Source organism: Homo sapiens, chromosome 8, assembly GCF_000001405.40.
Source record: "Homo sapiens chromosome 8, GRCh38.p14 Primary Assembly".
Classification (NCBI taxonomy): Eukaryota; Metazoa; Chordata; class Mammalia; order Primates; family Hominidae; genus Homo; species Homo sapiens.
Genome location: NC_000008.11, coordinates 130,928,141 through 130,954,211, shown reverse-complemented (window position 1 = coordinate 130,954,211; position 26,071 = coordinate 130,928,141). Strand labels below are relative to the sequence as shown.

At 40.4% G+C, this 26,071-nt stretch overlaps 1 protein-coding gene across 5 annotated transcripts in view; it reads left to right on the top strand.

Annotated features, from left to right (window-relative positions):
- The window catches only part of ADCY8 (adenylate cyclase 8), a 260,609-nt gene that overhangs the window by 86,698 nt on the left and 147,840 nt on the right, over positions 1-26,071 (top strand). For all 5 annotated transcript variants that reach the window (XM_017013006.2, XM_006716501.4, XM_005250769.4 and 2 more), the window contains exons 3-5: positions 2,214-2,344; positions 10,750-10,861; positions 17,012-17,139. In XM_017013006.2, the coding sequence (XP_016868495.1) occupies positions 2,214-2,344; positions 10,750-10,861; positions 17,012-17,139 (371 nt within the window). The remainder of the gene's footprint in view (positions 1-2,213; positions 2,345-10,749; positions 10,862-17,011; positions 17,140-26,071) is intronic.

Below are 26,071 nucleotides of genomic sequence, written 5' to 3'. Positions count from 1 at the left end.
CTGGTTATTAAAACATCACTGTAATACAACACTAGTGTAAGGATGATTTGCAATCAAACACTTTTACAAACTGACCGTGGGGTCCTGGAGTGTGTGTGGATTGTGTATTACAGCTCTATCACTTACAAGTGCAGATGCAGTGGCATCTTAATTAAACATCCCCAGCCATTGACAGAGCACTAGTGCCCCTCACAGCTGTAATTAGCACCTACTCCCACCCAGCAGCAATTGAGAGAGCAGGGCCACAAGTACCTGGGAAGTTGACAAATAGCACAAATGAACACAAAATGGACATGATGTTGGGGCATTTGCAGAAAGCATGCCTCTTAGTCCCGTGATGGGATAGCACTCAAGAGAAGAAAGGGCTTCATCATATGTCATTCAATGGGCATTTCATTAATAAAGCCTTTTGCATGAGAGGCAGAGTGAAGTAGAGGTGAGAGGAGGGAGAAGGACTTGATGCCAGGCCCCTCACATATTTTATTGCATTGAATTCTCACAGCAACTCTTTGAAGTAGATGATATTATTGCTATTAATATTTGCCAAATTAGGGAACTAAGGCACAGAAAGATGAGATAGTTTACCTAATGGATATCCAATGATAGAGTTGGAATCTAAACTTCTTCATCAGACTCAATCCAAGACTTTTCCCATCTCACCAAGAATCCCAGCTAGGAATAACAAGGGAAAGGACCGTACCCTGCAACTGCCGCTTGATTAACTGTTCAGGTTGTGCAAGTAACTTAATCTCTCCTGGACTCATTCTGTCCATTATATGAAAATGATTATTTCTGCAAGCTGATTGTCAGGGTTTCGAGAGAAACACATGAAAGAATGAATGGTGACAATGCTTAATACCCATAAATAACTACAAAGATATGAGGAACTGTGATGATTAGAACGTGCCTGTCTTAAACTGTTTGACACTATAGTAAACCATAGACCAAGAAAAATTTTATCTCTCTATAGTGATATGCCTCAACTAGATAATTCCACATGACCTATTATTATCATATCAATGATAATTACCCTATTTTCTATTATTCAACTAAAAGTATTAAACTTCATCTATCACAGTAAACCACGTAACCAAGTAAACCATGTGTCAGAAGCCAGCCTCTTGCCTAGTTTCCACAACACAAAGACTTTTTAGAATTTAATTCATGTTGCTAGTTAACCCATTACTTTCCTTTTGTCTACAGTGGTGATCACAATAGAAATATTATTGTTTGGTGTTAGGAACCCACTTTCAGGCTGCGTGCGTCTCACTTCCTCTCATCTTTGATAAAGAGCTAGTGCCTTGTAAGCCTGGTTTCTTTTGTATGTTCGCTGTTTCTGTAAGTGTAGCTCACTCTCCCAGGCAACTAAAGTCAAAACTAGCTATCATGGTGGGCACACCCTTTTTCTTTCCTGCCATCTCGGTTGCCAGTTCTATGAATCTTATCTCACCTGGACACTCCAGGAGCTTCCCCCACCTGGTCCCTCTGCCTCCAGCCTTGGCTCCTCCCCAGAACACATTCTCCAAATCCCAGCCAAAGTGATCTTTTAAAACATAAATCCAATTATGTCACTCTGCTGCTTAGTACCATTTAGTGGCTTTCAGTTGTAGTTGGAATTAAACACAAACATTGTATGCTCACCTGCAAGATCTAGCTACACCTCCAACCTCATTGCTATCACCACCCTCCAGCCACACCATTGCTCATTTCTGCCTCAGGATATTTGTAGTTATTATTTTTAATTCCTGGATTTCTCATTGCACTACACAGGACAGACTCCTTCCAAATTTTCAGGTCTCAATTTTAAATATCAGTTCCTTGGTAAGGCCATTCTTAATCCCTGATATGCATCGCTGTCATCAACCATTGTACTCTCTCATCATGACCTGTTTTTGCATGGCATTCATCACATTTTGTAAATGTGTGTAGGTATCTTTGGGTATGTAATACTTAATGTATCTTCCTTATTAGAATGTAAGCTCCACCAGAGTCAGAACCACATCCATTTGGTTCACCACTATATATCCAACACCAGCAGAGTGCCTGGCAAATAATAAGTACTCAATAAATATTTGTTGTATTCATAGAATGGTATGAAATTAGCAATCCCAAAGGGAGTTCATCCAAAAGCCCCATGACTTCTCCACCCTCCACCCTCCCATCTGAGACTCGCTGGTCAGCCTAACAGGACCGTCCCTCTTCATTTGTTCCAGGAGCGGCTCGTGCTTTCTGTGCTCCCCCGGTTTGTTGTCCTGGAAATGATCAACGACATGACCAATGTGGAAGATGAGCACCTGCAGCACCAGTTCCATCGGATCTACATCCATCGCTATGAGAACGTCAGGTGAGAAACACAACACCCTTGCCCCGGCTCTTGCATGATCCATGTGTGTTTGGGTGCTCTCATTGCACTTCCGTGACTTCCGTCTGCTTGAATGTCAGCACCTTTCCTCATCTGGTTGATTAATTCATTACCTAGTGATTATTCATCAGAGAGTTCTACATTTCCAAATTAAGGCTAGAGAAGAATGTCACAGATAAAATTATATTTGCTGGTTGACTTACTGCCTAGCTCTCCTACAGTAGGCGTGTCTGTCTTTACATTTTGAGTGGGAAAGGCAAACACCTTTTAGACTATGATAAGAAAAATAATCCCAGAATGTAATCTGGGGGTTTCAGGTGTGATCACATACATCCCCTCCTTATATTACTCATAAGTGTGTTTAAAACAGTACAAAGAGGATGACAGTTTATTTTCCTTTGCAAACTTATTTTTGGCCAACCATCCATCTATCCATCCACCCATCCATCTATCCATCCATCCATGTATCTTCCCACTTACTCCCCCATCCATGCATCAGTGCCCTCTATGTGCCCAGCACAACACTGGACAACATGGCATGTACTGAAAATCAAAGGGTGAACTCCATGGTGAGGCACACAAGCTTTAAAATCCCAATTCTGCCTATTCCTTGTTTGTGATCTTGGGAAATTTATTTACCTGAATCTCAAAATTCTTCCCTGTAAAATAAGCATCTTCTTAGCCACTTTGCAGAGTTTTATGTGGATCATATAAGTGAATATTAATACAAAATATAAAACAGGCAGAGTTAAGCAAGTAGTAGAGCATTCGGTACATTGTAGTTCATTTCAGACATGTTTCCTAGTTTCAGTCAAAAGAATCCAACCATGACTGATTTAAAAGAAATGTACTGGCCGGGCACGGTCGCTCGCGCCTGTAATCCCAGCACTTTGGGAGGCCAAGGTGGGCGGATCACGAGGTCAAGAGATCGAGACCATCCTGGCCAACAAGGTGAAACCCCATCTCTACCAAAAATACAAAAATTAGCTGAGTATGGTGGTGCATGCCTGTAGTCCCAGCTACTCAGGAGACTAAGGCAGGAGAATTGCTTGAACCCGGGAGGTGGAGGTTGCAGTGAACTGAGATCGCACCACTGAACTCCAGCCTGGCAACAGAGCAAGACTCTATCTCAAAAAATAATAATAATAAACGTATTGAAAGGTTATGTCATGGATTACAGAATAGTTAGGGAAGAATGGAGAAGTACATGAGGGAAATGGGCCAGAATGAAGCAAGGCCACAGAGTGAAAGGCATAGGCAAAATCAAGCCAGAGCACTTAGGCCAGTTAGGAGGCCACTGCCACTGTCTCTGACCAGTCCATTGCTTGTGCAATCAACCCTGTCCCCAAACCAGCCCCCAAACCCTGACACAGCCACCACTGCAATTCCCTGTCCCCAAACCAGCCCCCAAACCCTGACACGGCCACCACTGCAATTCCTCCTGCAGCCCCAGAAACTGACATTGCTGTCTTTGCTCTGCCCTGACTTCCTGCTCCTGCTGCTTCTTTGCATCTCAAGTTAAAGCCTGGAGCAGATGGGTCTGATTGGCTGAGCCCAGTCATTTTCTTTAAGTGCCTGGAAAGCAAGTCTCTGGCATTTTCAGCTTATACAGTGGAACTGTATCTCCCACCCACCAAATATCATAAGGTAAAACTTTCCCAAACATAGAGTCAGAGTCCTTACATTAAGCAACTTCAAAAGTGACAAACCTATTCTCATAGTTCCTTTCCTCCTAATGTCAGCAGGATAGAGGACAATTTTGCACTTAGCAGCATCTGTAGGTGTTCTACTCCTGGCATGCAGGAACACGCGTTTTAAAATTCAGTAGAGATCATGATTCTAACACAACCCTTCAGCGGGCATAGCAGGATAGGTCATTCCCAGGGTCTTGTCCAAGAATTGAGCTACACTGATTTAGATGCTTGAGTTTGCAAAACAGCCCTTTGTCAAACAGCAATTCCAGGAAGAGATGCGCCCCAGATCTAGGAATTGGTCCCACACATAATAAGAACTCTTCAATACTAGTTCTAAGACAATAGGAACCTATTAATCATAATAGAATATGGGGTTTGATTATTAAGCAGGCCACAAATGCCAAGAGATCATAAAAGGAGGAAAACCTGGGGCAAGGAGGTGGAGGGCGGGACAGGGAGATAGGTAGAGAAACCTTCCTGGAAGAGATGATGATTCTTCTTGGCTTTATTTGAGACGAAGTCAGCCAAGTGAAAAACACAAATACATGAATTCTGAGCAAAGGGGTCAGCAGAAGTGAAGGCAGAGCCACGGTCCATGCAGAGAATCATAGGTGGTGTTCCATATTCCTTCCCTGGTGGCAAAATGGCTTGACCACGAATGCAGATCCAGAGAAAGCAGAAATTGCGTGAATATTTGGGGAAAAAATAAATATTTAATTACATACTCATCTATAAATATATACAAATCATATAAATTTATAAATAAAATATGTGGCATATGATGAAAGTACCTGTCACCATGGAGAAAGAAGGAGGGAAAAATACCTTTAAAAAGAAAAATAAGGAAAATTCAACAAGCCAGCGCGTCCACACCAACATGCTCAGGTGCCTTAAGTGCAATAAACAGCATGTTCGGCGGCTCGCTTTCTGCAGGAATCCTTCTTCAGTGCTCCCGTTACTCTTAAGCAGCTAGTTTCTTCTGCCCCCACCCCTCCAACCCCGCCCATTTATTTTAAGTCATTGAACTGAGTTCTTGTGCTGGAGACCCTTTTCCAGAAGTTCACGCCACAGTACATTAAAATTTCGTTTTCTGCTCTCCGTGTCTCCGCGTTTTCAGAGCCGTTACTAGGGGGAGGAGAATTGATGCAGAAACCAGCCGCCGGCCCTGTTGCTCCCGGGCTATTCTCAGAGCAGCGTGGTGAGATGCCCGCGGCTCCGGGGGTTTCGGGAAGATGAACTCAGCTCGGGGCGGCGGGGCGTCTCCTGCCCACTGCGAGGCTGCAGGGTGCTAAAATAAGACCGGAGCCTTGAAAGCAGAGGAGGACGGTCCCTAGCCCAAGTCGGAGAACAAAGCCAACTGGCTGCTCCACCCGCTTCCCCAGCCCCCAAAGCAACCCCGCTGCGGTGTTGGGAGCATTTTTGAAATCATTTCCAAGCCCGTCACCCTCTTCATGGTAAACTGCCTGGTGCATTATTTTTTCTCCCTTGGCTTTTTTTTTTTTTTTTTTTTAATTTTGAAGACTCTTTCCTAAAAAAGTGCTGTACACATCTAAGTCTTGACTTACATTTCATACCACTGTTTACCTTCATCAGGAAAGGGTATGCTTAAAGGCGCCATGCTTGGGGGCATTCGTGTGCCCACGTGGGCTGGGGTAGCCACACCCTTGGCAAGACTTCGACTGCATCACCTCATCCCTGTGGGCCTCCGTTTCCCAATCTAAAAGCTGGACTCTTTGAACGCTCAAATTGACTTCAGCTATCAACCTCTGAGACTTCTCCAGGTTCACCTGAGGATCCACCTGGCCACCAGCTTTTTACTGGAAGTCATTCACGCTCTCCATCCCACCTACCCGATTGTATTGATCTTTCCTGTTTTTCCCCCAGATACTTAAGACACTTCTTGTATTCATTAGGGTAATGCTATCTGCTCTTTCAAATACCCTTTCAATTTCAGTGATTTTTAACTCAATCAAGTTTATTCATGCAAGTGTTCACTGCTGATATTACTGGTCAGTGGGTGATTCAGGAACAAAGGCTCCTTTGTTTTGTAACTACCATCCCTTGGGCCTCAAAGTTCCCAGCATTTGGTTATTGGAAGGGGAAGCAGAGTACTCACACCCACTTTTTTTTCCACCTTAACCAGAAAATGACGTATGTCATTTCTGTTCAGATTCCATTAGGGAGAATCAATTCCAGGTGCCCACCTAGAAACAAAGTGGGCTGGGAACAGTGCCTCTGGCTCAATGGCTTTTCCTAGTGACAGGTGGATTGACTATGCAAATAGAGGCATGGATCTGGTGGACAGTCATCCTTCTCTGTCATGGTTCTTTTTCCCATTTCCTATTGGCCCTGCCAATTCCATTTCATGTACATTTGCACATTTGCTGACATACATTTTGTGGGTCTGTCTGGGAGACATGTTTGTCTTTATCTCTCCCTATGCCATGGTAGATATTTTAGTGACCAATTGTCAAGGATCAAAAAAATCCTCGTTTTTAGAGTCTTGCTCAGTCTGTTCACTTTCTTGACTGGCTGTTAATTTCCAGCCAGCCCTGTCAACATGTGTGATCACTACATCTGTCCTGTAGACTAGAGTTTCACGAACAAGCAAAATGCAATTGAATGGAGCTAGAGAACTTGATGACTTTCTAGATCCATCCGCATGGCAGTTAAGCACTTCCAGATTCGTAAAAACTTCCCAAAGAGGTTATATACCCTTCATTTATTGAGAATTATGCAATGATTTACAAGTTGTCTTCTTATGGTAGTCCTACAGAGTAGCTTTAATGACCTTTGCTGTATTATCAAGGAAAATGGAAGCTCAGAGAGGTTAAGTAACTTTCCCAAGAACACACAGTTATGATATTGGAACACCGAACACATCTGAAACTTAGTTAGTGAGAGGAGTCTACACAGGGACCACGTTCCTAATGATTCTATTGAACTCCGCAAAAGCTTCCTTGGGGATTCTATTTGAAGAGTGACTATTAGGTAACATGACTTATTTTTAGCCAAATAAACAATTTATTTGGCTAAAAGTTGGCTAAATTAGAGTTGAAAATTACTATGGCCCCCTTGGTATATTCATCCTGGAAAGCTACAAATTATGCCAAGAATCAAAAGACTTGATGATCTGAGCTCAGCACCTGGAGGTGGCAGAACAAGCAATGGAATGAGAACCAGGGCCCTGGTTTCTGCTTCTGGTCTTTTATTCAATAAATCCTTATTGTACAACTATGACTTAAACCAGTGCTTCTGAGTCTTAAATGTGCACACAAATCATCTACGGCTCAGTTAAAGCAGATTGTGGTACAGTGGGTCTGGAGAGGTGGCTTGAGAGTCTACATTTCTAACAATTTCATGAGATGCCACTGGGGGCCATGACCATGCTCTGAGGAAGGAGGACTTAATTCTGAATGTTTCTGTTGATTGGACTAAGGAAACATGTAATAGGGCCAACTGTGTGCTGGGCAGGTGGGATGCAGAGGTGACTTCATTCTTGTTCTTCAGCTAATAGATGGAGCACACTTAGCCACATATGATTGTGCTATTGAGAGTTAAGTGTTATGACAGAGAGGGGCACCAACAGGGCGAGAAGCTTGAGTTGGGGATAACTGGCTATGCTTGGGGAAGTCTCCAGAGGGGTATAGACTCTTAACATGATTTTAACACCTGAGTGGGGCTCTGAAGGACAAGTCAGATTTTAACAGGTAGCAAAAGGGGGAAAAATCTATACCAGGGAGCAGGCATAGCATGTACAAAGATACAGGTGCATAATGTATGGTGGGATCGAAAGACCTGGAGAAGTTTGATGATATTGGAACACTGAAGACATCTGAAACTTTTATGACCTTAGCTCTCAGGGAATCCATTTGTTCTTTCAATAGGCTGTGAGCTTTATAAAGGCTGGGATGATGCTATCATCTGCTCACTACTTTATCTCCACTGCCTGGTGTATAGTAGTCATTTAATTAATAAGCTGTTGAATGAATAAATAAATTGGTAAACCATTCTTGCCATAGACAGATGGATACTAGTAGCTTTGGGCTTATGGATTCATAAAGGGAATGTGTTAAACCAAGTGATCTAAGAGCCTGTCCACTTCCCACCTGTCATAGCAATGACTTTTCTTTCTTCAAAAATAGCATAGCTGAGCAATAAAGAGGATGGATGCCAGAGCCAGGCTTCCTGGTTCAAATTCTAGCTCTTCATGATTATAGGCAAGATACGTAGGCCTCAGTTCCATAAAATGGAGAAGAACATGATAGGTTCTCCCTCATAAGTTACATGGAATAAATGAGTGAATACATGTAGGGCTCTCAGAGCATTACCAAGTCCACAGTGAATACTCTGTAAGTGTTGCTGCTGCCTGGCAGTTCAGGCTTCATCAACAGTTAGGAATGCTTTTAGCTACAAGTAATACATAATCAAATGAATGGCCATATTATTTTCTACCTCTGTTACCTCTCTCTTCTCTTTCTCTCTCAAATATAACATGCAATTATAGTATAATTTTGTAAAATGATGATAACAAAAGCTAACACGTTTAAGGAACATTTACTATGCTGGCAATTGCCAGGTGATGTGCTAAACACTACCCACTAATGAGGCAAGTATGCCAGTTATCTCCAGTTTACAGAGCTAGGGCTTACAGAAGTTCAGGAAGTTGCCCAAGGTCATAGAATTCCTAAGTGGTGAGCTAAGATTTGAACCCAGATCTATCTAGACTCAAATTCTGTGCATATGACCATATGTTCTGCCACCACGGAACTGTAGAAGACAATGGCAGTATAGTCACTCTGCCAAAGGTAGCTTAGTAAACTGAAAATCTATTGGCATCATGTCCATGCTTAAATCCCATTCACTAGCTTTCCATCACTTTCAGGACAAAGTCTACATTCTTCATCCTGGCTTACCAGCCCCTTCTCCATCATTGCCCCACCTGTATTTCTGACCTCATCTCTCTCTTCTTTCTAGCCTCCTTGCTCAGTGATACCTTCTGACTGGCTGCCCTTGAATTACTGCAGAACCTTGATACATACACTTATTCTTCCACCAGACCCTAGAATGTACTGTTCTCTCTGCTCAGAGCATCCATCCTCCCAATCACTTCGCTCATCACATTCTTCAAGAACCAGCTGAGACTTTTCTCTACTGGGAGACTCCTGATCCCTCTGTGGCTGGTCACCCCCCAATATGTCCTTCAATCACAGTGATCATCACCCTGCACTGTTTCCATTTTTCTTTTTGTCTTTCCAGCTCCATTCCTCAGACTCAGCATCTTGAGGAAAGGCACTAGGTCTTATATATCATTTAATCTAACTTTCTAGTCCAGTGCCTAGCTGAACACATAGTAAATATATAAATATTTGCTGAAAGAATGAGCCATTCAATAATTAACTAAAGCAATAGATCTAAGGATTCCTAATGATTTCATGAATGGACTTTGCGGAAGGTAAAAATCCCTTTAAGTGAGGTGCAAAATTTTGAATGCTCGTACATTTTTGGGAGAGATAATCCATAGTCTATGTCAAATTCTTAAAAGGGTTTGTAAAGGAGATGAATTTTAAGAATTATTGAATAAATGTGGTGACTGATGTAAGTCAACACATTCCACGATGTCTTCTAGCCCAATTACCTATTTCATTAAAACTAAATTACACTCATAGGCTGATTGTAAGACTTGTCATTATTTTAGGCAACACTAAGAAAAGATGTAAAAAGCTCGACACAGCTAAAGTGATCAATTGTAAGACACATCTCACTTTCAGAGAGGATGAAAAATGAGAAATGATCAAATATGGTATCCTGTTTTGTGTCCTATCTTTCCTTTCAGAGGTCCCTGAGATGACATGGTAAGATAATTGGAGCAATATCCCTCAGTGCAATTCAACCAAATGGACAATCCCAGCTATGCCATGTGCCACTAGTGAGATGCTGGGCAAGTCTCCTTGCATCTCTGAGCCTCAGTTTCCTCATGGGCTGAATGGAGAGAACTATGCTTGCCCCACAGAGTAACTGGATGGCTTAACCAAGAGAGTAACCTGGCTTTTAGAAGGCTTTGGGAAGCTGCCCTGTCCCTTATACCAGGCCATATACATAGAACAAGACCTCACCTAACTGAAATCTTTAGTAATGTGAGAGTATTGGGAAATTAATTATTCTGCCTGAGGTCTCCCAGATTTGCCACCTATTGTCATAATTTTTGAGAAATGCCTATTTACCTGCCATTTTGGGTACGGTACCTGTCATTGGGTTCAAGATGATGAGGTTTTCGGTTCTGCCCCTGCCCCTTGTGACCATTTTACTCTGTGTTCATTGCATGTGCATTGCTGTTCATTGTGAAAATATGGAGATAATTCATAAAGTTTCATCTTGCTTTTCACAAGAAATTGATATCTTCATGGTGACAAATTCTTTTGGATTGTTTGCATTGCCCACTCTACACAGCCCTGCACAGGAAAAAAGGGCTTCCTGTTGTCCCCTTGTCCTTCCTGAGCTCCTGAGTGGACTCTCTGCTGAGATATTTATTAAATACTGAGACATTCCTCCTGACTCTCATGGCAGCAAGAGCTAAAATCTCAGACCACAAAGACAGTTTATCTGCTGGGATGGTGTTGATGTGTATCCCAAGATGGACTAAAATATTAATATACTTCCTCCCCCCACCCCCACCCTCTTCCCTGTGTTTAGTATTCTTTTTGCAGATGTTAAAGGATTTACCAACCTCTCCACGACCTTGTCTGCTCAGGAGCTGGTCAGGATGCTCAACGAGCTCTTTGCCAGATTTGATCGACTGGCCCATGTGAGTTGAATTTAATTTCCTCCTCGTCTTTTGCAGGAGTGAGGGACTGCATATGGAATAAGGAAAGAGAAGGATTCAGCCTTCTTCCCCAATGTCATTACCATTCTGCATCCTGTCCCTAGGCATGGACCCTGACCCTCTCACATTCTGGGGACTGATGTTAGCTATTTACAGGTCTCATGCAGGAGGTTTGTCAGATTAATTTTCTCAATTGAGAGACGGCTGGTTGAGTGACAATCAAACCCCAGTCCTTTTTATCTGCTTTCCACGCCCCTATCATTGCTTCCCCTTGCACGTGGCCAGGTGCCATCCAGCTGCAGCTTCAGTGCTCATGCATGCAGTAATGATGGCCTGCAGTTTCCCAGCCAACCCTGGCCATCTGGGATGAATTAGCATGTTCTCAAAAACCAGTAATCTGCTGGGCCATCCCACCACCATCTTGATCAACCTAACTTAAGAGCTTTGTTTTTAGCCAACAAGACAGTACCTTCATTTTCCAGCTGTCTTGATCAGAGCTAAGCTAGAAAACAGATTAAAGGAGATGGACATTTGCTATCAAAACACAGATTCATAGTCCTAAAGCCACTTGAGTTACGAAGTAATATCATTATCACGCTGTACTTCAGAGTGGGCTTTGGGTTCAAATAGACATCTTAATTTCCTGCTGTGTAAAGTGTGTATGTTAGTGCCAACTTCACAGAGCTGTAATGAGAATTAAATAAGACCACATCGGTGGGAGTTCATTTTTAGAGCATCAAAATGTCCTCTGTTAAGGCTGCCTCACTCTATGGGAAATACATTAATACTTGCATTTAAGCACCTACTAGGTATTGTACATGCTGCTATGTGTTAGGAATATGAGAATGATGAAAACACACCTCCTCCCTTCCTGGAATTAAGTCTAGTTAGGTATTCATTAATAGGTAAGGAATGTAAAATGTGCCATGTGTTATGAGGAAGGTAAGTCTGGGGGCCATGGAAACACAGAGGTAACACATGACCTTTAGATGAGAGAAGACTTCTTGAAGAAAGTGACTCTTAAGCTGAGTCTTAAAAATGATATAAATAATACAATAGAATACTGTTCAGCAATAAAAATAGGATTATCCACTCTTACGTGCAACACCAATGAATCTCAAGTGCAGTATGCCAAGTGAAAGAAACCAGATACAAAATGCTAGGTATTTTATGACTCCATTTACAAGACATCCTATAAAAGGTACAATTACAGAGGCAGAAAACAGATAAGTAGCTGCAAGGAGGGCTGGGAATGGAGTAAGCATATGGATAGCAATGGAGCATGGGGTGGGGTGATTTGGGGGATTACATAGCTGATTTATATTTTTATTATGGTGGTTGTTTTATTATTACAGTTTTGTAGAGAGAGGGCATGAAGCCCCACAGTCAGACAGACATGGGTTTGAATTTGTCAAGAAGGTGATTTTATTATACATAATTTATACACTAATTAGCAAGGCAAAGAAATCAGAGCAGGATATTTTATGCAGAGGAGAAAACAAGCATAAAGATGTTACTCTGTATTTGTGAAGAAACCAGAAGAGATTGCTAGAGGATAAAGTGCAGGGTAGGAAGTGGTGGAGATGAGGCTAGAAAGACAGGCAGGGACTTGTCAAGCAACCTTAGTATAAATTTCAGCTACTGAACAGCTACTAGCTAGGAGACTGACGGGGGCGGAGGAGGAAGTGGAAACTGAGGGATCCTCCTAATAGGAGGGTTGGTTTTAGCTGGAGGGCTAGGGACTGGGGGAAAACATGTATACCATTTCCTTTTATTGTTGCATCAGTGGTGGTTGGTATCAGTTACACATAGCTATTCCATTTCCTATTATGGTTCTGATATTTTTTATCAAAGATGCCAAGATGAACAAAAACGGCCATCCAAAGGCCATTGGCAGATGTGATTAAGGTGCATTTCTGGTGTCACAGTAAACCCTGCTGACCCAGAGAAAGAGAAAGGGTACTTTTTCAGGTACTGCGCAAGACTGAAAAGACAAAACCAGTCCTTCCCCTCAGGATGCTCAGAATCTGGCAAGGGAAAATCACATGTGAATGCATAGCAGCCTCCACGGAGAGGGCAGGAAGACCAGGCTTCCAGGGTGCTGTGTGTCTGACGAGAAGAGGCCATCCTAGGGAACTTCAACCTTATCTACAGTTTCATTTTTACTAGGACAATATATTCACGTACTACTTACGTGATTACAATTAGATAAAATACTATAAAGTTTTTTGGGATTTCTAACTTTTTAGAAAAGTACACTGATAGCACTAATGTTTTTGCTTTGAGAGTCTTTTTCATTTGTATTGAGTTTTTCTGCTTATTAAAGTTATACATGTTCATTACATAAAATTCAAACATCAAAGATGTACACAATGCAAAGTATACATCCCTGTGATTCTACCCTGTGAACAATATAACCATCTTTGATAATTTGGTGCATTCATCTCCTAATTTTTGTCTATTGTCTGTATGTGCAGTTTCATAAACTCTTGGGAATTTTCCAAGATTTTGATAATGTCAAAGTCATCAAGACAAGAGGAAAGGATTGCAATAAGGCCAACTCAATAAAATTTTCAAGAAGATCCTCACCCTACTTTATTTTTCTTTTTGAATATTTTTTTCCAAAGCAGTCTGTCTTCCTTTATGTGATCTTTTCAAGGTAGTTTCTGGTACAAATAAGTTATTCAGATATTACTGTCAAGTCATCTGACAGCTCATAGTATTTGATCAGAAAAATGTGTCTGCAAATTGACAGACCTTGACAGATAAGAATCCAGGCCTTTAATGTATTATATATATTACATACATTTTATTTTTTTGTATAAAATAATTTTATATAATATATATGCGTATATACAACCATGTATTTGGGATCCAAAGAGTTTCAAGGAGGCTACCAGCTCCACATTTTGTTGGAAGAATAACAAACCCTGGACGTGAACATCATCACATCATTATCCAATGTCTGCCTCAGACGAGTAATAAACTATTTTACACAATCTCCTTCTAAAACACACTTTTGTCAGGAGACCTACCATTCTGGACTTTGCCATAATTCCTGCAGTTTTGCCAAGAGAGAGCATGGAGCCCCACAATCAGACAAACATGGGTTTGAATTCTTCTTCTGCCTCTTACTTGCCGTGTGGCCTTTCCCTCAAGCCTGCTGTTCCCATCCGTAAGATGACACGTGACTTAGAAAGTGGTCCTGAAGACTGAGATAGGTGTAATGCATTTAGTACATTGCCTGGCACATAGTACATGCTCAATGACTATTAGCTCCTGTCCCCACTTAGATTTTTGCCAAAGTGCTTTCACCTCTGTTTTCAGGGAAAGATCACAGATTCAGAGTTGGTGAGGGTGACATCCAGCCCAGGTTGTTACTGTTAGCTAGCTCCTCTGTAGCACAGGAAGCTTCCCCTCTCTCCACTGAGATTTCTGTATCTGTAAAACAGACGTGACTTTACCTGCTCTGCCATGTTCAGAGTTTTATTGTGAAGCTCAACGAAAAAAGATAAGGAGCAGCATGTTGAACATTGAGAAGGCTACTTCCAGGTGTCAGTTGTCATTGTCATTGTTAAGTAATGGCCAAGCTTACTCTGTTGTGTATTAAGGACAAGATAGATTATTTTGGCACTTGTCACATATGAGGAATTGAAACCCACATACAGTGGCTTCAGTGTCTTATCCAAGGTCAAACAGCTGGTAAATTTCTCTGGAATGCAGATGTCAGATTCTTAGACCAAAGTAATTTTTGTTATGCCCCTTTCCCTCATCCCTCCCTGTAGCAAACAGGCAACAGGCCAATCCATGCATCTGATTTTGATGGTACCAGGCTTTCTTTCGCATAAGTCTCTCATACCAACCCGATGCCCCAAAAGACCATTTGCAGATGAAGTCACCAATCCCTGCCTTCCAGTCTCAGTGTTCGGATCTGCAAAATCAGAGTAAGATTTTGGAACACTGGTTCTCAAATTCTCCTTCATACACAAAAATTGGAAATTTTAAACTTGGCATGAGATTTTAAAAATGATAAAAGCAATGTAGTGAGTTTTCATAATGTTAAATTTATTTAGGTAAAAAGAAAACCTTGCCTTTATTCTGAAGATATGTCTTTCCAGTAGTTCTGGTGTTAAAAATATATTTGCTTTTATAAGTGATGGGGATAGTAGATAGTATTTGGGTTGCTGTTTTTGGTGTTTGTTGATGGATTGTTCATACTTTCTTGACAAAAAAAAAAAATGTACCCTACAACATCTCTAAACCCTCTGATTTCTTTTTCCATAACAGTCCCACTGACTCCACAAATCTGGGCACTGCTAGCACCAAAGAACAAGAAACTTTCTAAGTTCCATTCTGATCCTGACACCCTCAAGGTCTTAGAAGAAACAACTGAAGGCCTTAAGCTTCTTTTATTTAATGAATCAGACCTAATTGTCAGCTGTGTTGCAAAATTAGCTGCATTGAAGCAGCCAATAGACAGGAGCCCAGATCCCCTAAAAATAATCCTGGGATGGCTGTACATGCTGTCAGAGTTCTGAAGATTGCATCTGGGCCCATTTGGGAAGGTTGACAAGGCTCCAGAAATCTGACGGGAAAGTACCAGAGACAGTTCTGATTCTCTTTTCCCTGTCTAATATTTGTTTTTCTTGGGATAGTATATTTACTTATCCATTACCCAAACATAATGTCCAACTCCTGGTGAGATTGGGAAACCAACACAGTGCTTTACAGCTTGCTACTACAAGGGCATCAACAGTACTGTTGGTCTCTCAGTGGGTACTTTTTATCAATAACTCCCCTTCTCCAGCTCTGGGGCCCTCCTTTTCCCACACAGCCATAGAACCATAAGCCTCTAGGACTTCAGATCTAGAAGGCATCTCAGAGGTCATTCAGCCCCAACAAGCTGCCCAAGGAAACCAAGAGGATATGTCACTTGTCCATGATGAAAAACAGATATGTGAAGGAGCTAGGCCTGGAGTCCAACTCTTCCTCATAGAAAGAGGCAATATTAATTGAGTGCCCCATCTGCCAGGCCCTGTACTGAGCTTTCACTTGCACCATCTCACTTAACCCTCATAGTGGCACAAGGGGACAGGCCCTATGATTATCCCCATTTGATAGATGAGGCACCTGAAGGCCAGAGGTTAGGTAGTTTACCCAAAGACTCACAGAAAAGACAGAGGCAGTATCTGAGATTTGATCCTGTGCAGTGTGACTCGTAAACCAGTGCCCTTGGCTCCCCATGCTATACTACCTTAAGTTCTCTTTCTACTAGAACCTATAACATCTAGCTGCTTCCTATCCAATATAAAAGCATGCATTATTTTCTTAATGCTTGTTGTTCTTTGAAATTTTGTAAGAGTTGTGTCTTTAAGATTGGGAATCCACCAAACTAACAACTACTTCTCACCGGTGAAATGGAGATAAAAAACAACCCACCTTAGAGGGTTGTTGTGAGGATTAACTCTGTTTTATTTATAGTGCATAATAGGAGCTATTATTAGTCATCTTTGGGTTAGGGACAATGTTTGCCTTATTATAGGTGCCCAATTGATTTTTAATTTTTTCAATGAACAAACATATAAATTAATAAACGAATAAAAGGATATATAAGAAGACTTAGTTCCTCCTCATAAAGTGCAAATGTCCTTGCTGGAAAGGAACTTTATAGAGTTGAAGTAATAGGAATTCCTAAGTGATGTACATTTTTAAGTGCTTACTATTAAGCTAAAGACTGATGAAAGCTGTTAATTCACAGCTGTTTTTGAGAAGAGAGACATTGCTTGGGGCTGAATTTGTAGGAGATACTATGAGCACTCTGTCAGGCCTGACCAAGTGACAGGTGTGCAGACCATAGAGCTAGTATATAGCAAAGCTTGGATATAACCATGTAGCTTTTGAGCTCAAAACCTAATTTCTTTATGATTCCATTCCACCTCTGGGTCCTTCAAACCCCCATTTAGGTTACACCTCAAATATTTTAGAAAGACAGGTAGAAGTATATTTCAAAGGTAGGTTCTCCTTACCCCAAGTTGCAGACCACCTAACCCTGCTCGCCTCTTTCTCAAGCCTTTCTGAAGAACTGATCCTTCTGCTGACATAGACCTTTCCCTCTTATCCTGTTCCTTCCAGGAGCATCACTGCCTTCGTATTAAAATCCTGGGGGACTGCTACTACTGCGTGTCTGGACTTCCTGAGCCCCGCCAGGACCATGCCCACTGCTGTGTTGAAATGGGTCTCAGCATGATCAAAACCATCAGGTAATTTGTGATCCCCATCATGTTACCTGGGTCTTCAATGTGCACGATCACAGGCCACTTCACCTACCCTTTGTGGTAAATCATATGTATGGTGAAAGGCAGAACCTTTTGACTTATTTCACAAAAACTGTGTGCCCCTTAGTTCTCCCATATAAACCAATGAACCTGTTAGCATCATTGTTTTCTAAGTTTACCTCACTTTTAATTATTTGTGCTACAAGTTTGTATTACAAATGCCCTTGTGGAGATGCAGCAAGGAACAAGATGAGCATAGTCCTTACCTTCAGGGATGTTACAGTGCAGAGAGAGAGATGAATGAAAGAATGAATGAATGAATAAAAAATTTCAATGCAGAACAATAAGCTTTGTGATAAATCAAATCCAAGTGCTTGGGGAAAATAGAGGAGGAAGTTAATTCAACGTAGGATGTTGGGGAAGGCTTTCCGGAATAGAAATGTCTAAGCTGTTGACTGAAAGGTGGGTGGACATTGACAGGATCTTGGAAGTGGAGGGGAGAGTTTTCAAGAGAGGATGGACATGTACAGAAACCAGGATGTGCTGCAATGGCTACTGTGAAGCCTGGGGTGGAAAGAGTAGTGACAGATGGACTGTAGGCTGGCAGCAGCCAGAGCCCATATGACCTTCTCAGTCATGTTAAGAGGTTGCACTTTATCCTATGGCCAATAGGAAATTACTAGAAGGCTGCCACCAGGGTTGGCTTCATGGATGTGTGGCAAGTGCTTTTGGTTTTATTCAGCATATCTGACAAACAGATGATGGATCAAGGGGGAAGGAATTATTGGGGTTGAGGACTCTGGAACTAGGCTGTGTGTGGCTTTCAGACAGAATCTTAGTATTGTCAGCACTCCCCTTGAGGTCCAAACTGGTTGCAGAGCCTCTAAGTGTCACGTCCTCACAAAGCCACAGCAAAAGCAGTAACAAGAGGATGCATAGGCAGAAATACACACACACACACACACACACACACACACACACACATGTCAGTGCTTGGGTGACTAACACCCTCAAAAACTCAGACTTAATTGATCTAGGGAAGACCATGGGCTGTTTGTAAGCTTCTTCCATGAGACAAAGGTACAGCCAGCCTTGAAAACCACTGTCTTTAGAGAGATTTTAAAGGTGGAATCAGAGCATACCATGGAAAAATCAGTATAATAGAGAGTTTCTCAAAATGTAGCTTCACAGATATGAACTTTTCACATGAAGTTTTCCCACCTGCAGTAAAAGATATTTCCACAGACAACCCAGTTTTCACAAAGGAAACAAACTAGCAAACGTCATATTCTCCCAGAAGCTACCATGAGGAAAAACCACGTTTGGTTGAAAGAAGGCAGTGGGCAATAGGCGTACAGCCTCTAAATGAAAGCTGTGTAGCAAAGATGGTCACTCAACAGTCTTCAAGTGGAGTGCTGTCTGTAAACTGCAGGGCCTTTGCTGTCTTCTGCAAACAGTTGAGTAGGGTGTGCAGTTGCTGTAGCACATTGTCTTGCAAAAAGGAGCAGCAGGAACTCACCAGACCAGGCACAGGGAGGTGGACTGTCAGGAGGGACACAGAGGTCATGGTTCTGGGTGTCTTAACGTCAAAATTTGGGATTCTTTCCTTGTCTGGGTAGCATCATATTTTTATTCTTTCAGAAGAGAAGGAATCTGAGGAGCAGGAGACAAAAGCACTCTAAAAACCTTCTTTCTCCCTTTACGCCATCTCTTAATAGAATTTTAAGCATTATCTGGCCAAGCTTTCCTGCCCTACATTAGGCTACCGCCCCAGACTACATTAGGCTGGGCTGGCCAGCTTGATGATCAAAGTGGATCCAGAGTAATTCTGCATGCATCCAAGCCTCTTCGAAGACAGCTGGATTACCATTCCAGCACAGGGCAAAGAGACTAGGAATTTCCAAAATCTTTTTAGTACCTTTCCATCAGCAGAAGGCATGTGTCCATAGTGACAGCAGCCTACCTCTGGAAAGGCACATGTAGAGCTTTATCATATCTCAAGAAAAATATCCAGTTGTCACAGTCTTCTTATGTCATTGATCCTATGGAAAGAAAAAATTTTGAGTAACAATTTCAGAGGCCTTATGCCTCATTTAAGGGATTTATCTGAAAGTCTCCCATAAAGCCAAAAAAATGGAATCGGGAGATGTACAAGTGGGATGAGAATTTATGGTACTTTTCTGTGAAGTGTATGATGGAAACCAAACCCTTTACTGTCCCTAATACCAAGTAGGTAGGTAGATAAAGAGACCCAAGATGTCCTCTCTACTATCTCCCTGTCTTCTGTAGAGATGCGGAAGTACTCCACTTTAGGAACTATGGAGAGAGGAATCTATGGGTTCCAACACAGAGTTCCCTTTTGTTTGGGTTTTGGTTAATGGAAAAGGCTGCAGATGTTTTTTAACTGCTAATTTGGACACTTGAGAGTTTTTCCCTGAAAACTAGGATGAATTGTAATAATACTTTAACTGGTGTAAAGGGGGACAATGGGACTGCGATATGGTTCGGATTTGTGTTCCCACCCAAATCTCATGTCAAATTGTAATCCTCAGTGTTGGAGGAGGGGCCTAATGGGAGGTAATTGGATCATGGGGGTGGATTTCCCCATTGCTGTTGTCATGATAGTGAGTGAGTTCTCATGAGAGCTGGTTGTTTATAAGTGTGTAGCACCTCCTTCTTTGCTCTCTTCCTCCTTCTCTGTTATGTAAGATGTGCCTGCTTCCCCTTTACCTTCTGCCATGATTGTAAGTTTCCTGTGGCCTCGCAGCCATGCTTCCTGTACAGCCCGTGGAACTACTTGTTAATTAAACCTTTTTTCTTTATAAATTACCCAGTCTCAGGTAGTTCTTTATAGCAATGCAAGAACAGACTAACACAGACTGACACCCAGAAGATCAGAGATCTCTACAACTAATTAGGTGTGTGAGCCTTATTCTGTCAATCAGTAAACCCATCAACAAATGTTTATTGAGCTCCACTATGTGTCAGGAACTGGGCTAAGCCCTAGAAATACAGTGATAAACATGTCACCTGGAGGTCTTTGTACATGGGTGTCCTTTAGGGGAACAATTAAATTTATTGCCTACAAAATGAAAAAATCAGATCAGACAACTTTGAAGTCTCCACCAGTTCTGAAAATCTGTGATTTATAGCCACATAAACATCAGAGTTTAAGCAGCAAAACTTTCTACAGACTTTCCATAAGGATTTGTATCTTAGCCTTAAGTAAAAGATATGTTACAGAGATAACATTGGAAAATAAATGAGCATCTATAATCAAATACTTTAAGATACTTAGAGCATTATTATTTCTCTTTCTGGAGAGGACCTTATTCTTCCTGATCATTTTATTGAATTTAAGATCTCCTTTCTGGAGTTTTGAAATTGAACAGTGAGAAATGATTCAAAGTCTTTTTCAAACTGTATGAATCAAAATCTGTTGATATCCAAACAACTCCTTGATTCTAATCTAAGTAACATGAGGTCCAGTATTAATTATTCTAGTTAGCAAGAAAGCATGCTAAAAAGGAATTAATAGGAGCCCTGGAATTAGATAAACCTTGGTTGCAATTGGCTCAGACTTCTATAGTTTCCAGTCTTACTGCCAAATATTTCACTCTGAGGAATGGCTGGTGAACAATATTTGCACCTTAATGTGTTTAGAAGAAAATGCCAGTTACATAGCTTTATCAAAAAGTTAATAATCTTAACCAATTACTGCTTACACAAGATGGAATTTTTTATTCAGCTGCAAAGTTGCTTGTTCCAATTTGAAAACTTGATAGAAGCCATAAAGACTGGAAATGTTCATAATATTATATTGCATATATCATAATGTTATATGTTAATATAACATTTGTTTACTGGTGTCCCCAAATTTCGTGTTGACCCTCTTTATTTGCTGTCAGAAATGGACCCCTGTTTGAGGTTTTGTCTTTCCCTTTCAGCAGCTCTCCTTGTCCCTATTTCTGGCATTTTCTCAAAGTTAGGATACCATCAATCCCCAGAGTGCAGAAAGACAACAAGGGGCCAGTGCTCTGTTGGTAAGATGGCATTTGGATTTTTAGTCACTGTACCTAACAACTCCAATAATTTCCTTGTTTAGGTGAGATCTATAATTTTTGTGCAAATGGCAAACCAACACTCAAAATGACCCTAGTCTCTTACTCACTGATCATTCCAAACATGTGATAGAAATCCTCTACAACCATAGATATGGGTAGGATAGGGTGCCAATATCACGAAAGGCCAGGGTCGTCCACTGCTAGTTAGTGCATTGGCAGGTTTCAAAGAGGGTGAGGAGTAGTAAAGCCAGTTAATGAAATAGGACTCTCTTGTGATTATTCTCTAACAGAAACATCAATTTGAGCAAGTATTCATATGTGAAAATAGCTTCAAAAGAGCTAAGGAAATCAGGTGAGATGTCATAATACTCAGCTGTAGCACAATAATAATAAAAGGCACATTAAATGGAGTAGGCAGGACAAATTTATATTATATTACCCATATCATCCTTCCCCCATCCCAAGCAGCACAGTGCAGAAAAATATACCATCCATTTGGGGAAAAGAGAAGGAAGTGGGCATAGGACTTTGACTTGGACCCCAACACTGGGCCTGCCACAGTAAAACCCAGCACTAGGCAGACCCTCATGATCCCATATACCAGGCTGGTACCCACAGACTAAGCCTCTACACACGCCCCGATGGCAGATAGGACCACACAGCTCAAGGCTACAGGCTTGCTTGGCCAGTCTGATCTCAGGCACACACCACTATTAGGTTGACATTAGTGGACCTGGGCTCTGGACATCCCTTAGCAATGGGAAAGCCTCAGTGGTCCTAGGCTTCTGGCCCACCCAGAAGTAATACCCATGTAGTAGATACCATGTTTCTAGCAATGTCACTCTGGCTGCAGCTGCCCCAGGCTTCTGGCATGCCCCAGTACCACACCTGCCGTAGTGCTTTCCCAGGAAAATCCAGTCTGTGAAGACTATAATAAGGACTTACTTATTCAACTGAGCAGGGATTGAGGCACAATGATGAAGGTCAAAAATCATCAGGGAAATATGACATCACTAAGAGATAAAATAAGGTACCAGTGACTGAACCTAAAGAAATGAAGATGTGTGAACTACCTGCCAAATATTTCAAAATAACTATTTTAAGGAATCCCAGCAAACATGAAGAAAATGCAAAAAAAAATTAATAAAATGAGGAAAATAATAAGTGACCAGAACAAGAAACTTAATGGAGTGATTGAAAATAATTTTTAAAAAGAAATCTGGAGCCAAAAAATATAATAACCAAAATGAAAACTGCAATAGAGAACATCAACAGCAGAATTTCTCAGGCAGAAGAAAGAAATTGTGAACACCAACACAGGTTATTTGAAAATATACAGTCAAAGAAGAAAAAAGAATAAAGAAGTATAAAGAAAGCTTACAAGATTTATAGGACAACATCAAAAGAGCAAATATTCAAGTCATGGGGGCTTTAGAAGGAGAAAAATAAGATAAAGGGGTAGAAAGCTTATTTAAACAAATAGTAGCAGGAAACATTCCAAACTTGGAAAAAGGTGTAAATATCCAGGTACATGAAAGTCAAAGATCTCCAATCAGATTCAACCCAAATAAGAATAGCCAAAGAAACATAATAATCAAACTATTAAAATCAAAGACAAAAAGAAGATCCTGAAAGCAACAACAACAATAAGAAGCAAATACCATATATAGGAGTCCCAATATGGTTAACATCAGAATCCTCAGCAGAAACCTTACAGGCTAGGAGAAAGTGGGAGACATATTCAAAGTGCTGAAGGGAAATGAGAAACCTGCCAGACAAAAATACTATACCTAGCAAAACTGTCCTTTAGAAATGAAGGGAGATTAAGACTTTTCCAGACAAACAAAAGCTGAGGGAATTCATCACCACCAGACTTGTCTTATAAGAAACGCTAAAGGAAGTTCTAGCTGAAAGAAAAGGATGCTAATGAGTATCATAAAAACATTTGAAAGTACAACTCACTGGTAAAAATAAGTACAAAGTAAAATTCAGAATATTCTAATATTATAGTAATACAGGATTTATGGGACAACTCCAAAAGAGCAAATATTCAAGTCCTGTGGGTTTTAGAAGGAGAACAGAAAGATAAAAGGGTAGAAAGCTTATTTTAAAAAATAGTAGCAGAAAACTTTTCAAACTTGGAAAAAGATGTAAATTACTTATATCTTTGTAATGTAGGATAAAAAAACAAAACTACTACAAATGATAATACCCACATTAATTTGTTAAGAAATATACAATATTAAAATGTAAATATTGATATAAAAATAGAAAATGCTGGAGAGAAGTGGATTAAAAATATACAGTAGGGTGTGTGTGTGTGACCAAAGTTAAGTTGCCATCAGCTTAAAATAACCTGTTATGAATATGAGATGTTTTTGTAAGCCTCATGGTAACCACAAAGCAAAAACCTATAGTAAATACACAAAAAATAGAAGCAAGAGGCTGGGCGCGGTGGCTCACACCTGTAATCCCAGCACTTTGGGAGGCTGAGGTGGGTGGATCGTGAGGTCAGGGGATCGACACCATCCTGGTTAACACGGTGAAACCCTGTCTCTACCAAAAATACAAAAAATTAGCCAGGCTTCGTGGCAGGTGCCTGTAGTCCCAGCTACTTGAGAGGCTGAGGCAGGAGAATGGCGTGAACTTGGGATATGGAGCTTGCAGTGAGCTGAGATTGTGCCACTGCACTCCAGCCTGGGTGACAGAACGAGACTCCATCTCAAAAAAAAAAAAAATGTAGAAGAAGGAATCCAAATATAACACTAGTGAAAATCACTTAACCTCAGAGGAAGACAAAAGGAAAGGAAGAAGTAACACAAGATCTACAAAACAACTAGAAAACAATTAACAAGTCTCTACATGTAATGTAAATGCATTAAATTCTAGAATCAAAAAATGTAGAGTGCCTTAATGGATGAAAAACAAGACTCAACTATATGCTGCTTACAAAGGCTCACTTTACCTGTAGGACACACATAGATTGAAAGTGAAGGATAGAAAAGGTATTACCTGCAAATAAAAAACAAAAGAAAGCAGGAATACCTATACTTATGCAAGATAAAATACACTTTACATTAATAACTATGAAAATGAACAAAGAAAGTCATTATGTAATGATAAAGGGATGATTCAGCAAGTGGATATAACATTGTAAATTTATCTGCACCCAACATCAAAGTACCTAAAAATACAAGGCAAATATTAATAGATATGAAGGGAAAGATAATACTATATTATAACTATAGTAGAGGACTTCAACATCCCAGTTTCAGCAGTACACAGATTATCCACATAGGAAATCAATAAGGAAACATCAGACTTAAGCTATCCTCTCAAATAAGTGGACCTAATAGACATATATAGAACATTTCATTCAATAGCTGCAGAATATACATTATTCTCAATTTCACATGAAAGATTCTCGAGGATAGCTCATATGTTAGGACATAAACAAATCTTAACAAATTTAAGAAGATTCAAATCATATAAAGTATATTTTCTGACCACAAGGGTATAACACTAGAAATTAATAACAGGAGGAACTTCACAAAATTCACAAATACATTGAAATTAAACAACATGCTCCTGGACAACCAATGGATCAATGAAGGAACTTAAAGGAAAATTTTAAAATTTCTTGAGACAAAATTGGAAAACAACAAACTTATGGGATACAGCAAAGGCAGTTATATAAGGGAAGTTTACAATAATAAACACCTGCATCAAAAAAGAGGATCTCAAATAAACAACCTAACATTGCACCTCAAGGGACTAGAAAAACAAGAACAAACTAAGTCCAAAGTTAGTAGAAGAAAGAAAATAATAAAAATCAGGACAGAAATAGACTAGAAAAAATAAACAAAACCAAGAGTTGATTTTTTTTGAAAAGATAAAGTTGAAAGACCTATTGCTGGACTAATTAAGAAAAAAACAAATAAAATAAAATGAATAAATTCATTTGATGCATGCAATCTACCAGAACTGAATTATGAAGAAATAGAAAATCTTAATAGACCAATAGCAAGTAAGGAGATTGAGTCAGTAATACAAAGTCTCTCATCTAAAAAAAGGCCCAGGACCTGATGGTTTCACTGTGAATTCTATCAAAATTTAAAGAAGAATATCAATTCTTTTCAAACTCTTCCAAAAAATTGAAGAGGGAAAACTGTTTCCACCCTCATTTTATGAGGCTAGCATCATCCAGAGACCAAAGCCAGACAAAGACACTAGAAAAAAGAAAATTACAGAATATTCCTGATTAATTACAAAAATATTCCTGATTTTATTCCTGATAAAGAAAAATATGCAATAAAATTCTAGAAAAACAAATTCAACAGCACATTAAAGGGATCATTCACCATGCTCAAGTAGGATTCATCCCAGGATGCATGGATGGTTCAACATACATGGATCAATAACTGTGATACATCACAATGACAGAATAAAGGACAAAACCACATGATCATTTCAATAGATGCAGAAAAAGCATTTGAAAAAATCCAACATCCTTTCATGATGAAAATTCTCAATTAATTAGAGAAAGAATGTACCTCAAAATAATAAAGGCCATGTATATGACAAACCCAGGGCTAATATCATACTCAATAAGAAAAAGTTAGGCCAAGTGCAGCAGCTCACACCTGTAATCCCAACACATTGTGAGGCCAAGGTGGGAGGATAGCTTGAGGTCAGGAGTATGAGACTAGCCTGAGCAATAATAGAAAGATCTCATTTCCACAAAATATTTAAAAATTATGTGGGTGTGGTTGCACATGCCTATAGTCCTAGCTACTTGGGAGGCTGAGGAGGGAAGATCACTTGAGCCCAGGAATTTGAGGTTGCTGTGTTAG